Genomic DNA, 13429 nt, shown 5'->3' on the forward strand with positions numbered 1-13429 from the left:
GTCTAGCTCGGAAACATTTCCATCACTCCAAAGTCAACTCCTTACTCATGAAGCCGTTTCTCCCTGTTCTCCTGACCCCCAACCCCTGGTAATCACCACCAACCTGCATTCTGTCTCTATAGATTTATGGGTCTATTCTAGATATTTTACACACCTCCTTTTCTGCAGTGAAGTCTATAGGCTTATGTCATTATAGGTAATAGTCATTAAAACAAAAGATATACATTAGAGGATGCAGAAGGGGAACTAGGACAGCTGCCAGCAGGTCTTGGCCGGGCACGGTGGCTCACGCCTGTAATCCCAGCACTTTGGGAGGCTGAGGAAAGCAAATCACTTGAGATCGGGAATTCAAGACTGGCCTGGCCAACATGACAAAACCCCGTCTCTATTAAAATTACAGAAATTAGTCAGGCGTGGTGGTGCATGCCTGTGATCCCCAGCTACATCGGGAGGCTGAGGCATGAGAATTGCTTGAACCCAGGAGGCAGAGCTTGCAGTGAGCCGAGATCGCGCCACTGCACTCCAGCCTGGGCGACAGAGCCATACGCTGTCTCAAAAAAAAAAAAAAAAAAAGATTAATTAATTAATAATAAAAACAAAATTTCTCCCCATCCCTTTTTTTTTTTTTTTGACGGGGTCTCTAAAGGCTGGAGTGCAGCGGCGCAATCACAGTTCACTGCAGCCTTGACCTCCCAGGCTCAAGTGATCCTCCTACCTCAGCCTCATGTCACCACACCAGCTAATTTTTCTTTTTTAAGTATAGATGGTGGGGCGGGAGCATCTCACTATATTGCCCAGGCTGGTCTCAAACTCCTGGACTGAAGCAATCCTCCTACCTGAGCCTCCAAAGTGCTGGGATTTCAGGCATAAGCAACCATTCCCATCCCCCTTGTCCTTCTGTAAGACATCATCCTATCATATGATATAGAAACCTCCCAAATTGACACAAAAAAGCTCCTGGTGACATGCTGCTCCAGCAAAAAGGGGATCAGGGCTGAGAACACTGGTCTCAGGAGAGCCCAGGATACATGCAAAGGTACGAATCCAAGGCATTCAATTAACTGGACAGGTAGGAAGAGTCATTGAACCCCACTTGGCACATAGGGAAGGGAAAAGTGGACTTGAGGCAATGGTTTTGTCTTCAGATGCACAGCAGAATTACTTGGGAGCATTTAAAAAACAATTCAGATGCCAAGACCCCATCTTCAGATATTTTGATTCAGTTGATAGTTGGTTGGGGGTAGAGGGACCAGGACCTAGAAGAGAGAGAACTATGGAACTCGATTATCTCTAAAATATCTGGCGGATCTTATGTTCTAAGCTGAGAACATAGGATGAATGTGGGAAGGAACAAAGAGAACTAAAGAGAGGGGCAATGGTTGCTCCAGGTGGCTCAGCTGAGCTAGGACGAGAACCAGTCTCCAAACCCAGACATCACCCCACGAACTCATGCCACCTGCAGATACTTTTTCTTTTTCTCGTTCTCCTCAGTTGAACGGAACAGCCACATATCATCAGCTCCAGAGGAAGGCCCACCTGTGGATACCTGTACAGATGAGCATCAGGAAGCAAAGATGGAGCCAGGAACCTCTGACCATGCTGCCAATAGCTAGTGGGTGCAAGATCAACCAAAGGTTACCTGAGTGGTTGGTCACTGTCTCATCATATGTTCTGTATTTTTAGCCATGCTTGAGTTCCCACAGCCCGAATCACGACAGCTTCACCTGCAGCCGACCATCCATCAGGCAGTTGGAAGGTTTCAGGTTGCTGTGGGAGCCCAGGGGGCTCCTGTGGAGGAACAGCATGCCCTGCAAGGGTGAAAATGAGCAAATGAGGCAGACCAGGTGCTGATAACACTGCTGGAAGGAACCAAGGCAGAGAGACAGATGGACAGAAACACAGACAGAGGGGCCTGGGGCAGGGGATGCGCCCATCTCTGTGTTCATTTGTTCAGGAGCCACCAGCATAGCCCCTTGTCCCTGGAGTCAACTGGGGCTGGGACACCCAAAATGGAGAAAACTATTTCCAGCTCCTTAGTGTGAAGCCAAGAAGGCCAGGCCAGCTTAAAATAAATACATCCTAGTGATCAGGCTAGGATGAGTAAATTTGGAGTGTTAAATCGCTCCCAAGAAGTCAGGACCAGAGCTGGGATATAAACCCAGGTGGGATTGGGTTAGAAGCCCAGCTTCTTCTAAACCACTAGATTTTCGTCTTTCCTGTGCCCTGGGTGATGGGAGATAAAAAGGGGGAGGAGGGAAGAGGGAGGAAGGAGGGTCAAAGCACATACTCCCCCTGCACAATGACACAACCCCAATGTGTAATTACACAATGACACAATCTAACTGAGAAGGGGCAGTGAAGTCATGTGTGGGAGGGGCTATGAGGAGGTCCCAGGGAGGAATGGGGTGGGGGGAACATCCTGAACAGATAAGTGAACCCAAGGACAGGGTCTTGGGCCTCTTGGGCACCAGTGATATAAGAGTTAGAAAGAGGCTGGGCACGATGACTCACGCCTGGAATCTCAGCAGTTTGGGAGGCCGAGGTGGGTGGATCACAACGTCAGGAGTTCAAGACCAGCCTGACCAATATGGTGAAACCCCCTCTACTAAAAATACAAAAATTAGCCAGGCATGGTGTCCGCGCCTGTAATCCTAGCTACTTGGGAGGCCAAGGCAGGAGAATCACTTGAACTCGGGAGGCAGAGTTTGCAGTGAGCCAAGATTGTGCCACTGCACTCCAGCCTGGGCGACAAAGCGAGACTCTGTCTCAAAAAAAAAAAACCAAAAAAAAAAACAGTTAATAAAGGAATTATTTAGACACTTAGTGAGTGTATGGGAGTCCTCGGTAAGGTCTTCCTTTAAATGGAAAGCAGCCCGTCAGGCCTCTGAGCCAAAGCTCAGCCATTGTAACCCATGTGACCTGCACATGTATGTCCAGATGGCCTGCAGGAGCCAAGAAGTCTGGAGTAGCTGGAACACCACAAAGAAGTGAAACAGCCAGTTCCTGCCTTAACTAATTAACCCACCTTATGACATTCTACCATTATGACTTGTTCCTACCCTGCCCCAACTGATCAATTGACCCTGTGACTTTCTTCTTCTGGACAATGAGTCTTATGATCTCCCCACCATACACCTTGTGACCCCCTCCCCTGCTAACAATAGATAACCACCTCTAACTGTAACTTTCCACTGCCTACCCCAGTTCTATAAAGCTACCCCTCTCCTACCTCCCTTCACTGACTCTCTTTTTGGACTCAGCCCACTTGCATCCAAGTGAATAAACAGCCTTGTTGCTCACACAAAGCCTGTTTAGGTGGTCTTCTATACGGACACGTGTGATAGCCCCCAAATCATTTTCTTTTCTAACAAAGAGCAGCCTGTAAAATCAAGCTGCAGACATAGAAAGGCAGGCTAGAAGCTTGCATGGGTGAATGCCTGCAGTTGTGCTAATAGGAAAGGGGCTACCTAGGGACTAGACATGTTCAGATAGGGGCTCCATCGTCCCTTTTCTTTGTAAACCACACGTACGGTAAGCAGTAGGCAACATGGCGCCAGGCAGGCAAAGATTTCATTTGCATAATAGAAGATTAAGGTGGGGAAGCCAGCTTCATCGCTGGCTATGTAAATGTCACACCTGGTCCAACCAATCTTTGGGCCCTATGTAAATCAGACACTGCCTCCTCAAGCCAGTCTATAAAATCTGGTGCACTTCGCTGTGGGCCCCCTCTCTCTCATAAGAGAGGGAGCTATTCTCCTTTCTCTTTCTTTTGCTTATTAAAACTGTGCTCCTAAACCCATTTCTTGGGTGTCGTGAGTACTCAATTTCCTTGGCGTGATACCATGAACCTCGGGTATTCACCCCAGACAACAAGCAGCTTCACCAGCACAGGGGTGCATCTCTTCCTCCAGCAGTGCTGACAGGCCAAGTAACTATCCCACCTGAGCCAGAGCCCTGAGGCCAATATTGCATTAGAAATATGGGATAAGGGCCAGGCACGGTGGCTCATGCCTGTAATCCCAGCACTCTGGGAGGCCGAGGTGGGCGGATCAAGAGGTCAGGAGTTCAAGACTAGCCTGACCAACATGGTGAAACCCTGTCTCTACTAAAAATACAAAAATTAGCCTGGCATGGTGGCACGTGCCTGTAATCCCAGCTACTCAGGAGGCTGAGGCAGGAGAATCGCTTGAACCCAGGAGGTGGAGGTTGCAGTGAGCTGAGATCATGCCATTGCACTCCAGCCTGGGCGACAGAGTGAGACTCTGTCTCAAAAAAAAAAAAAAAAAAAATGGGATAGGGGCTGGGCGGCTCATGCCTATAATCCCAGCATTCTGGGAGGCTGAGGCAGGTGGATCACTCAAGGTCAGGAGTTCAAGACCAGCCTGCCCAACATGGTGAAACCCCATCTCCACTAAAAATATAAAAATTTGCTGGACGTGGTGGTGGGTGCCTGTAATTCCAGGTACTCTGGAGGCTGAGGCATGAGAATCAGAATCACTTGAACCCAGAAGGCAGAGGTTGCAGTGAGCCTAGATCCCGACACTGCACTCCAGCCTGGGCAAGAAAGTGAGGCTCCATCTCAAAAAATAAATAACAACAACAACAAAGAAATATGAGATAATACCGAAAACATCCAGGAGAATGGATACATGCCCCCACCCCTGCCCCAATCACTCTCCACCCCCTACCCCATGTTCCTTTATCAAAATGCCTTATTTGTTTTTAGATGGTAACATTGAATCACATTTTGAAACTGCCGCCCACTCAACTGGACCGGGAGGGGCCTGGCTGGGGCTGCCTCTGGGACTTCCCCAGGGAGGCTCCAATAGGCTAAGGTCCAAGCTTGAAATCAGGTGAGACCTGTGTCTGATCCAGAGTTCTCTGATTCCAGCAGGAGACCTCTCCATTCAACAGGAATGTCCCTGATACACACAAGGTTTTTTTCTGCTTTCCTCCTGCCTTTGCTAGTGCCATGCCTACCCCAAGTATGAGATATTTTACAGTCAACGATTTTATATTATAGGATTTTAACAGAGCTCCTTCCATTAGGGTGAAAATGACATGCTGAGGGGCGCTTGGAATTCTGGGTGTGCATTCCTCTCCAAGAGATGGCATGCATGTCTTTATTTTCTATCTTGATGGAAATGTATGATTTTTATGTATATTATCAGAGAGCAAATAGAGCTATGAAAGGATTTATTATTTACATGCCAGATTTTATGCACTTTTGGCAGCTCTGAGACAGGAATAACAGGAGTGGCTGCAGGAGAACAGAAAATTCCAGGCAGTTACACATGACTAGCAAAAAGGAACTGAAATAGCTGCATAAGCCATTATTTTCAGGGCTGACAAGACCCTGAAAAGAACAGGGTGTGGGCCAAGCCAGCTAAGACCAATTGGATCCAACATGGTGCTGGATTTGACCCAAGTTTCACCTGGGACCTTATTATAAGCTCATTAACATACTAGGTCACACACCCACCAGTGCCACAACAGTCCCAGGAACAGCCATATTTAATGTAAAAATGGGTAACATCACAGTTCCCAGAAATCTCCACCTTTTTCCAGGAATCCTCATGAATGTTCTACCCCTTGGTTAAAGAAACTCATGAAGGTAGAAGCCCCAAATTCCATTGCGTGACTCTCTCTCAAGTCTGCCCGCACTCCCCTTTCCTGAGTGTGTACTCTTCACTTTGCAGTAAATCTCCATACTTTCACTACTTTCTGATTTATCCTTGAATTCCTTCTCACAGTGGTGTTAAGAGCTTGCACACTGGCTGGGGTCAAGGTCCCACCAGCATTTGGGGACCTCCCCTAGCCCACCAGTATCAGTTCAATCATCTGTCTGTTAGCTACATTTCTTGCCCTACTGGAAATTCCTGGGTGGCAGACAGCACTCCTACCTCTGGGCCCTATATCTGTACTCTCTGGTACTTAGCAGGAAGGAAGCATCGCATGGAAGAGCAAACACAGCCTTTGGAGACAGACTGGCTACAAATCCCAATCTGCGTCTTACCAGCTGGGCAGATGACTTCACCTCACTAAGCCTCACTTTTTCCCTCTTGGAAATGGAGATCATGTTACTCCAATATTACTACTATTGGAGTTAAAAATGAATTAATAATGGAGTTAATTGCTAATTATTGAGATCACTGTCCAATAAAAACATAATACAAGCCACATGTGTATTTTTACATTTTTAGCAGCCATGTTATAAACCAAACAGGTGAAATGTATTTTATAATGTTTTATTTAACCCAATGTATTGAAAAATCTTATTTCAGCAAGTAATCAACATAAATATATTAGCAAGATATTTTATATTTTTTTTTTGCTAAGTCTACAAAATTCAGTACAAACTTTATAGCACATCTCAAATTGAACTAGCTACAATTGCAGTGCTCATTATCCACATGTGGCTGGTGGCTATCATATTTGGACAGTGCAGACTTGCCCCATAGGAGTGTTGGGGAAATTAAAACAAGAATATGTACTTCTTTTAGCACCAGTAATAGAATTATCTATGATCGTGATAATACTATTGCTACTACTAACAATCAACATTTACTGGACGCCTGTTACAGGGAAGGCATGGCACTAAGCATTTTGCATACATTAGTCCTCACACAACCCTATGAGTCAGGTACTGATGTTATCTTTACACACAGGAAAACTGAGGCCCAGGGTTGTTAAGGTCACCTGGCCAGTAAGTGGCAGTCAGGGTTCAAACTTCAACGACAACTTCTTTGCTGAATTGTCCTTCATCCTCTTAATCCATCAAGACTTCTCTTATTTAGACATGAAGGCCTATTTGTAACTCAAGAAGAGTATTATACTCTCCAAACTCCTTCCCAGGCTTGCCCAACTGGGTTGAACTTTTTGGGGACAGGACAATGAGGCTCATTCGTCTGTGCCTCCTACGCCCAGAATCGGGTCTGATCCAAATTAGGCGCTTGATCAATATATGTTTGTTGCCTTGAAATGTCTATGGCATCTCAGAGTCTCTCTGATACCTGATATAGAGGAGGTGCTGATCAAATAGACATAGAGAGACTTGTTTCCAAACTACAATCGCCCCCACGGAGCTTGGCCCAATGCCCAGACCCATGGCAAGGCTCTAAGAGTACAGTACATTTTCTGTTACTCGCAGTCCCCTTTCAAAGAACATTGGCAGAGTAATTAACCTCAAAGGGCCTACCTGTGCCTTGATCTAGCCTATTGTGTCATCAGTAGTGGCCCTACATGATCCCAGAATGTGCACACTCCATCTCAGGAGGTAATGATCCTTCCAAAGCAAAATGCCAAGCTGTCCTCTGTTTTCCTGGCACAGAGTAGAGGGTAGACTCAGTGAGCTAGAGTAGGTGATGACCACCAGGGAGCTCTTCCCCTTCAAAGTGCCATGCCCACCTGCCATAGCGTTTTTCCAGAGAAACCTTTGGGTTAATGCTTCTTGAAATCTGATGCCTACACTAAAAAGGTCAAATCTGTTAGTCATTCATGGCTTGGTGAGAACTTACTTACTAGCTTACTCTTCACTTCCAATATAAATGATGTTGGCTGTTTTGATGGGGGCAGGAGGCAGATAATTAGAGTCCAGAATACTTCTTTGTGCTCGGTGGGAAGAGAAGGAATAAGTGGGTGAAGGGAAGGAGAGAAGATCCCAGGGTAGGAAAAGATGCCAATGTCGCATCCTCCCAGTTTATAACCACTGCCACTTAAAGAATTTTATATGTACATCTCCAGACTATTTTTTTCCCTAGCTTTTAAGCCATCCAAAGCTGGAAACAAGTCCTTTCTTCCTACAAAAGTGACCAGAGTAGGATAGACTCTTAACAGATGCTCAATAAAATTTTAATGAAATAATAACAGTGGTGGTCCAGGGTTGCCCATGAAGACCCAATCACAGAGACGCTTCTGCCTATTGACCTTGCTTTATAACAATCTGCTGGCTTCCTGCTAAAGCCTAGGAAATCAAAGTCTCACAGAGATATGGGACTCAGCTCCCTAGAAACAAAAAGCAATAAAATCCTTGTTGAAGGAAAGCCGTTAGACTTCAATTGGGCCAGCCTCATTCATTCTACCTACGTGGAGGTCAAGGTCTAGAGAGGGGAAGTGGCCTGGCAAAATCACTCAATAAGTCAGTGGCCCATTAATCCAGGAGGGCACAGCTTGTGTTTCATCCTTTTTGCCCTCTCAACACCCAGATGAGTCTTCCCCACAGGAGTCTGTTGGTTGATTGATGGTTGGACTAATGACTAGCAGTGGACCACCACCCTTCACCGTGCTGCCCATGACTGAGAGGTTTCCTCACCGGACTGACTCCCAGGTCACTGGCTTTGTCGCTTCTGGTGGTAAAAGTATAGGCAGCAAGCTTAAGAAAGAACAGCTGGATTTAGCGCAGGTGGGAGACAGCAGCCTCAGGATGCTGGTCCACACTGACATGGCTCGCCCCACAGCGAATCTCCTCCCTCTCCTGCCCTCTCCATCCCTCATCACCAGCTTATACCTAGGGCATGGCCCTTCAAGACAGTGTCACCTTGGGCTTTGGATCCAGCTGCCACTTCTCAGTATTTCCACTGCCTTCCTGGCAACAGGCAGGAATTGGTCTCTCTCCAACTCCCTCTGAATTACACGCCCCCCCAGCCCCTAATTGGCTTCTAGTTGTGAGACTGACTTCTCCCTGTGGTAAAACACAAAAGCAAGCTCTAGTGCTTCCTACTGAGAGGCAGTATGGTACAGTGGTTAAGGGTATAGGACTTGAAAATGCCTGGGTTTGAATCCTAACTCTAGTATTTCATAGCCATGAGACTTCAGGAAGGTCATAGGAACTTTCTGTGCTTTGTGTTTTTTTAATCTGTAAAATAAAAGTAACAATAGATCTACCTTACATTCTTGTGAGAATTCAATAAATTAATATATACAAAGTACTGGAAAGTGCCTGGCCCAAAGTAGGCACTCTATATATTTTAGTGTTACTATTATTCCCTTCTTTGCAGCCACCATAGTCCCCTGTGCCAAAGCAAAGATTCTACCTCCTCAGATCAGAATCTATGGCCCAACTCTTAGGTCAGCAGCTATGTGGTTAATGTGGCATCCCCATTTCCTAGGGAAAGAAATCAGGGGCTGAAGAGCAGGGAAGAATATCAGGAATCACTTCCCCCAGTCCAATTTACAACCTAGTGATGAGATACCCTTTGAGATAGAAAGTTCTACCCTACAATGTAAATACTCTGCTCTTTTCTGATTGGGTAAACTTAGCATCCATTCCAACTTTAGCATAAAATACTTTCCTCTCTATATATTTATCTGTAATCAGGGAAGAAGAAAAGAAAAAATCAGATAGAAGTGATAGATTTTAGAGCTGGAATCACTCTGAAGAGGAGATCTGAAGAGGTCTAACATTTTCAAGAAAAATTACAGTTTATTTCAAGACACAGCAACTCAAAAACACTATCATATTCATTCTTTGGTAAGTTTGTGTTATACTTACATTGACTATGTCGTATGCAAATGAGAGTTTGAATATCCAATCCATTTCATGATCCGAGTTTCTCAAAACATCCTGAAAAACTCAGTAATTCAAAAGATTCCTAGTGACTCAACCTGAAGCACAGTGAGCTTTAACAATTGAACAGATTTGACTCTAATATAGCTTATATTTTTGGCCAGAACTAACGCAATGTGGGGCAGAAAACATTAAACCTAATAACTGGAAATCTTCCCAGGAGATACCATAACCTGACTCAATATTGAGAATGCATGCAGTCTCGAGTTTTACAAACACTTCCTTGTTCCTGACAGAAAGCTGTCGTCACATACCATAATAGGATGGGTCCAGGAACAACAGTTCAAGAGTAGCCATAACATCCTAAGAGAAGAAACCAAGCTCAGTTTTCCCCCAGAACAAAAGAAGCAGACATTTGGCTAATTTGATTCCCAGAAGGTAGCCTGACAAGATAGTTCAGGTCTTGCAACTAGAACAGAGAGGAACTGACCTTGGATGAATAGCAGAGGGCACTGAGAAACTTCTTTATTATCTACCACTAATCAAACCTAAGGAGCATTTTACTGTTTTGCTTATCTTAAGACTTCCTTTTTTGCAATACTGGGTGACAATGCAGATGTTAGGTGGTTCGGTGCAAATACCAAAGAAGGGAACAATGCTCTCGTGCCTTAATTCACCCATCTGGAAATAATCATGGTTACAATAGCTCATGTATAGAGTGTGTCTCTATGTCCAGGACCATGCTATGTGCTTTGCATATTTTCAGTCAATTCTTATAAAGACCTTGTTAGATAAGAACTGTTACAGATCCCATTTTACAAATAAGGGAACTGCCACTGAAAGGTAAGGTAAAGTAACACCTACAAGTGGCAGAGCTGGGAGGTAAACCCAGGAAGTCTGTCTGCAGCAAATAAATCAGAGGAACGATCAAAGTCTAACCTCACGCACGGTGATTAACTCAACCACGTCACAGTAAATGGACTCAGCCCTGCTTCCATGCTTATGGCTGTCAATGCCAATGTGGGGCCCACAACAGATCACAGAGAAGGAGCAGGAAGTCAGGCCCATGAAACTGACTCCCTCCAAGTACCAGGTTCAAGGCTGGTAGGTAGGCAAGCAGCCATCACAGACACAGAGGATGAAGAGCCAGAATCAAGGCCAGAAAGAATGATGGGGAAAAAAACAGAGGTAGGAATGATCCCAGGCTTCAGGTGCCTGGGAGAGGCTAGAGGTCTGAGATTCAAAGCCTGGGCTGTCGAGGGGAGGGAGAGATGGGTCACGTTAAGGGAAGCAGCCTCCCATCTCTGCTCCTTTGGAACCAGGGAGCTGGCAGAGGAGGGGCAGAGAGCATCACTGCTTTGTCTCTCCACTGACCCTGGGCAGGGGGCCTCACCAGCTGTATTTCCTGTAGCACAATCGGCTTCCTAACCCAGGCTTCTGCTTGGTCACCAACGTAACGGATGGCCACATGGTTTCCCTAGAATCAAAGAAAAAGTGGAATGTTCTTAACTCAGAATGAACCAGAAAAAGCTCCACTTAGGGCTAGGGAGGGGAGAAAAAAAGCTGGAAAGAAATGCACCTAGGAGCCAATCATCAAGCTCCTCACTGCCCAAATCAACCCCTTCGGTGGCCCTGTGCATGGCCAGGCACTGAGCTAGCTGCTTAACACTAAGATCTCCTTTAACTGGCATCACAGTCCTGTGAGGTAGGTATGATTGGCCCATTTCCAGATGGGATTGTTGAGGTTACGTAACTTGCCCAAGTTGCATATTTGTAGGTAGTACAGCGAGAACTTGAAAGTCTGACTCCAAGACTATACACTTTTTATTATATAATAATGTCCCATTATCATTCAGAGGAAATAGTGAGTTACAGTGATAAGCGTAGGTTTGGAGTCAGTTGCCTGATTCTAAGCCCAGTGCTACCACTTACTGCCTTAACAACCTTGAGTTGTTCTTAACTTCTCCAAGCCTTTATTTTCTCATCTGTAAAATGGGATTAAAAATAACACCAAACCTAAAATAAGTTTTTTTTTTTTTTTTTTAAAAACACCAATCTCATAACGTTTTCTGAGCATTAAATCAGTTAAAATACCACTGGTAACTCAAGACCTGGCATATATCAAATTTTCAGTAAATGGCATATTTTATTTGTATTGCCTATGGAGTCTGCTTTTAGAGAGCCACTTAATCAGTCACCACAAAAACATATCATAATGTGGTAAGAGCTGGATAGAAGAAGGCATAGAATCTGGACCCAAGAGAAGGTAAGCCACAAGAGAAGGTAAATATCAACCCAAGATCTTTCACGTTTCATATGAGGGCAATGGCAAAGGACTCAGGACTGTGATGGGAGGGCCACAGAGGAAGGAATGCCTGTGGGATGAAGAAAAGGATTCTTAGAAGGGGTGATGCTTAAGCTGAACTTTGAAGGATAAGAAGATTCCACATGGGTTGGGTGGAAGGGGTGTGGCATTGTCAGAAGGTGAAACATACGTGGCAAAATAGGCAAGACCAATTGGATGAGCACAGAATATAAGCCAGGGGAAAAAAAGATTAGAAAAATAGATAAGGACTAGGGAGTCAAGAGGCTTAAATCTCTTATTAAAGAGTTTTGGCACTATCATGCAGGCAACAGAGGTGGGGAATCCAGTGATGGTGTTTCACAGAGAGGAGAGGAGACATATTTTTGGAAGATCAATCAAACAGCGATATGCTATGTGTTGCTACTTCCTTCTTTATGTGGCTGGGTGACGACCACGTAGAGTTTTGTATGGATGGTGGTCCCTAAGGTATTTAGTAATATCCCAGGAGGTTTTTGTAGTTTGAGAACTCAAGTAAGCAAACATTTAAAAAATCAAGTTTCAATGCATAGGGGATAATTTGGCTCTAGTCTTTTCTAACCCCAATTTAGAGCAATAAACAATTCTTCCCTTGCTCGGAGCTTTCTGTCTTTACTCTCTGGGACCCCCATTTTAAAGAATAAATACAATTTTGTATATACTCTTACCCCAAGGGGACTTGAATTTTGGAAGGATTGCTAAATGCAGACAGCGATCATGGTCTGGGTGTGGGAGGGAAGGTGAGAAAGGACAAGTGGAAATTACGTTCTAAGCTGCAGCAGCAGTCACTGTCTACACTGCAGAAGCACCAGGCCCCACAACTGATTCATCCATGCCAAAGTAGCAAGGATGAAATAATCCACACTCTAGGACTCCACTGTCCTTTAAGGGAGCCACCAGTCACATAAGGCTATTTAAATTTAAATTAATTAAAATTAAATAAAATTTAAAATTCAGTTGCCCAGGCACACTAATGTTCAGTAGTCACAGGAGGCTAGTGGCCACCATATTGGACAGTGCAGATCCGCGACATTTCCATCATCACAGAAGGTTATTTTGGACAAAGCTAAGTATAATCTAGAAGCCAGCTTGGGAATCACCTAGAAGATTTTTTTTTTTATATGGAGCCTCGCTCTGTCGCCCAGACTGGAGTGTAGTGGCGTGATCTCGGCTCACTGCAAGCTCTGCCTCCCGGGTTCACACCATTCTCCTGCCTCAGCCTCCTAAGTAGCTGGGACTACAGGCACCCACCACCAAGCCCAGCTAATTTTTTGTATTTTTAGTAGAGACGGGGTTTCACCGTGTTAGCCAGGATGGTCTCGATCTCCTGACCTCGTGATCCGCCCGCCTTGGCCTCCCGAAGTTCTGGGATTACAGGCGTGAGCCACCATGCCCGGCCAGGAGATTATTTAAAATGCAGAATCTCAGGTGCCACACCAGACCTACTGACCCAGAATCTGCATTTTAATAAGAGTCCCAGGTGATCCATCTGCACATTAAGGTTTGGGAAGCACTAGTATGGAGTCACAAGACCACCTTGGCTTTTGCTAGCAGAATGTTCTTCTATTCAGAATGCCCTGCCT

At 45.2% G+C, this 13429-nt stretch overlaps 1 pseudogene across 1 annotated transcript in view; it reads right to left on the reverse strand.

The window, feature by feature from the left end:
- The window catches only part of GUCY2GP (guanylate cyclase 2G, pseudogene), a 48418-nt pseudogene that overhangs the window by 17370 nt on the left and 17619 nt on the right, over positions 1 to 13429 (reverse strand). Inside the window, exons 10-11 of the transcript NR_028134.1 lie at positions 10899 to 10982; positions 1640 to 1808 (exon numbers count right to left, since the gene is read on the reverse strand). The product of NR_028134.1 is annotated as a guanylate cyclase 2G, pseudogene (transcript). The remainder of the gene's footprint in view (positions 1 to 1639; positions 1809 to 10898; positions 10983 to 13429) is intronic.

This window comes from Homo sapiens, chromosome 10, assembly GCF_000001405.40.
Source record: "Homo sapiens chromosome 10, GRCh38.p14 Primary Assembly".
Lineage (NCBI taxonomy): Eukaryota > Metazoa > Chordata > Mammalia > Primates > Hominidae > Homo > Homo sapiens.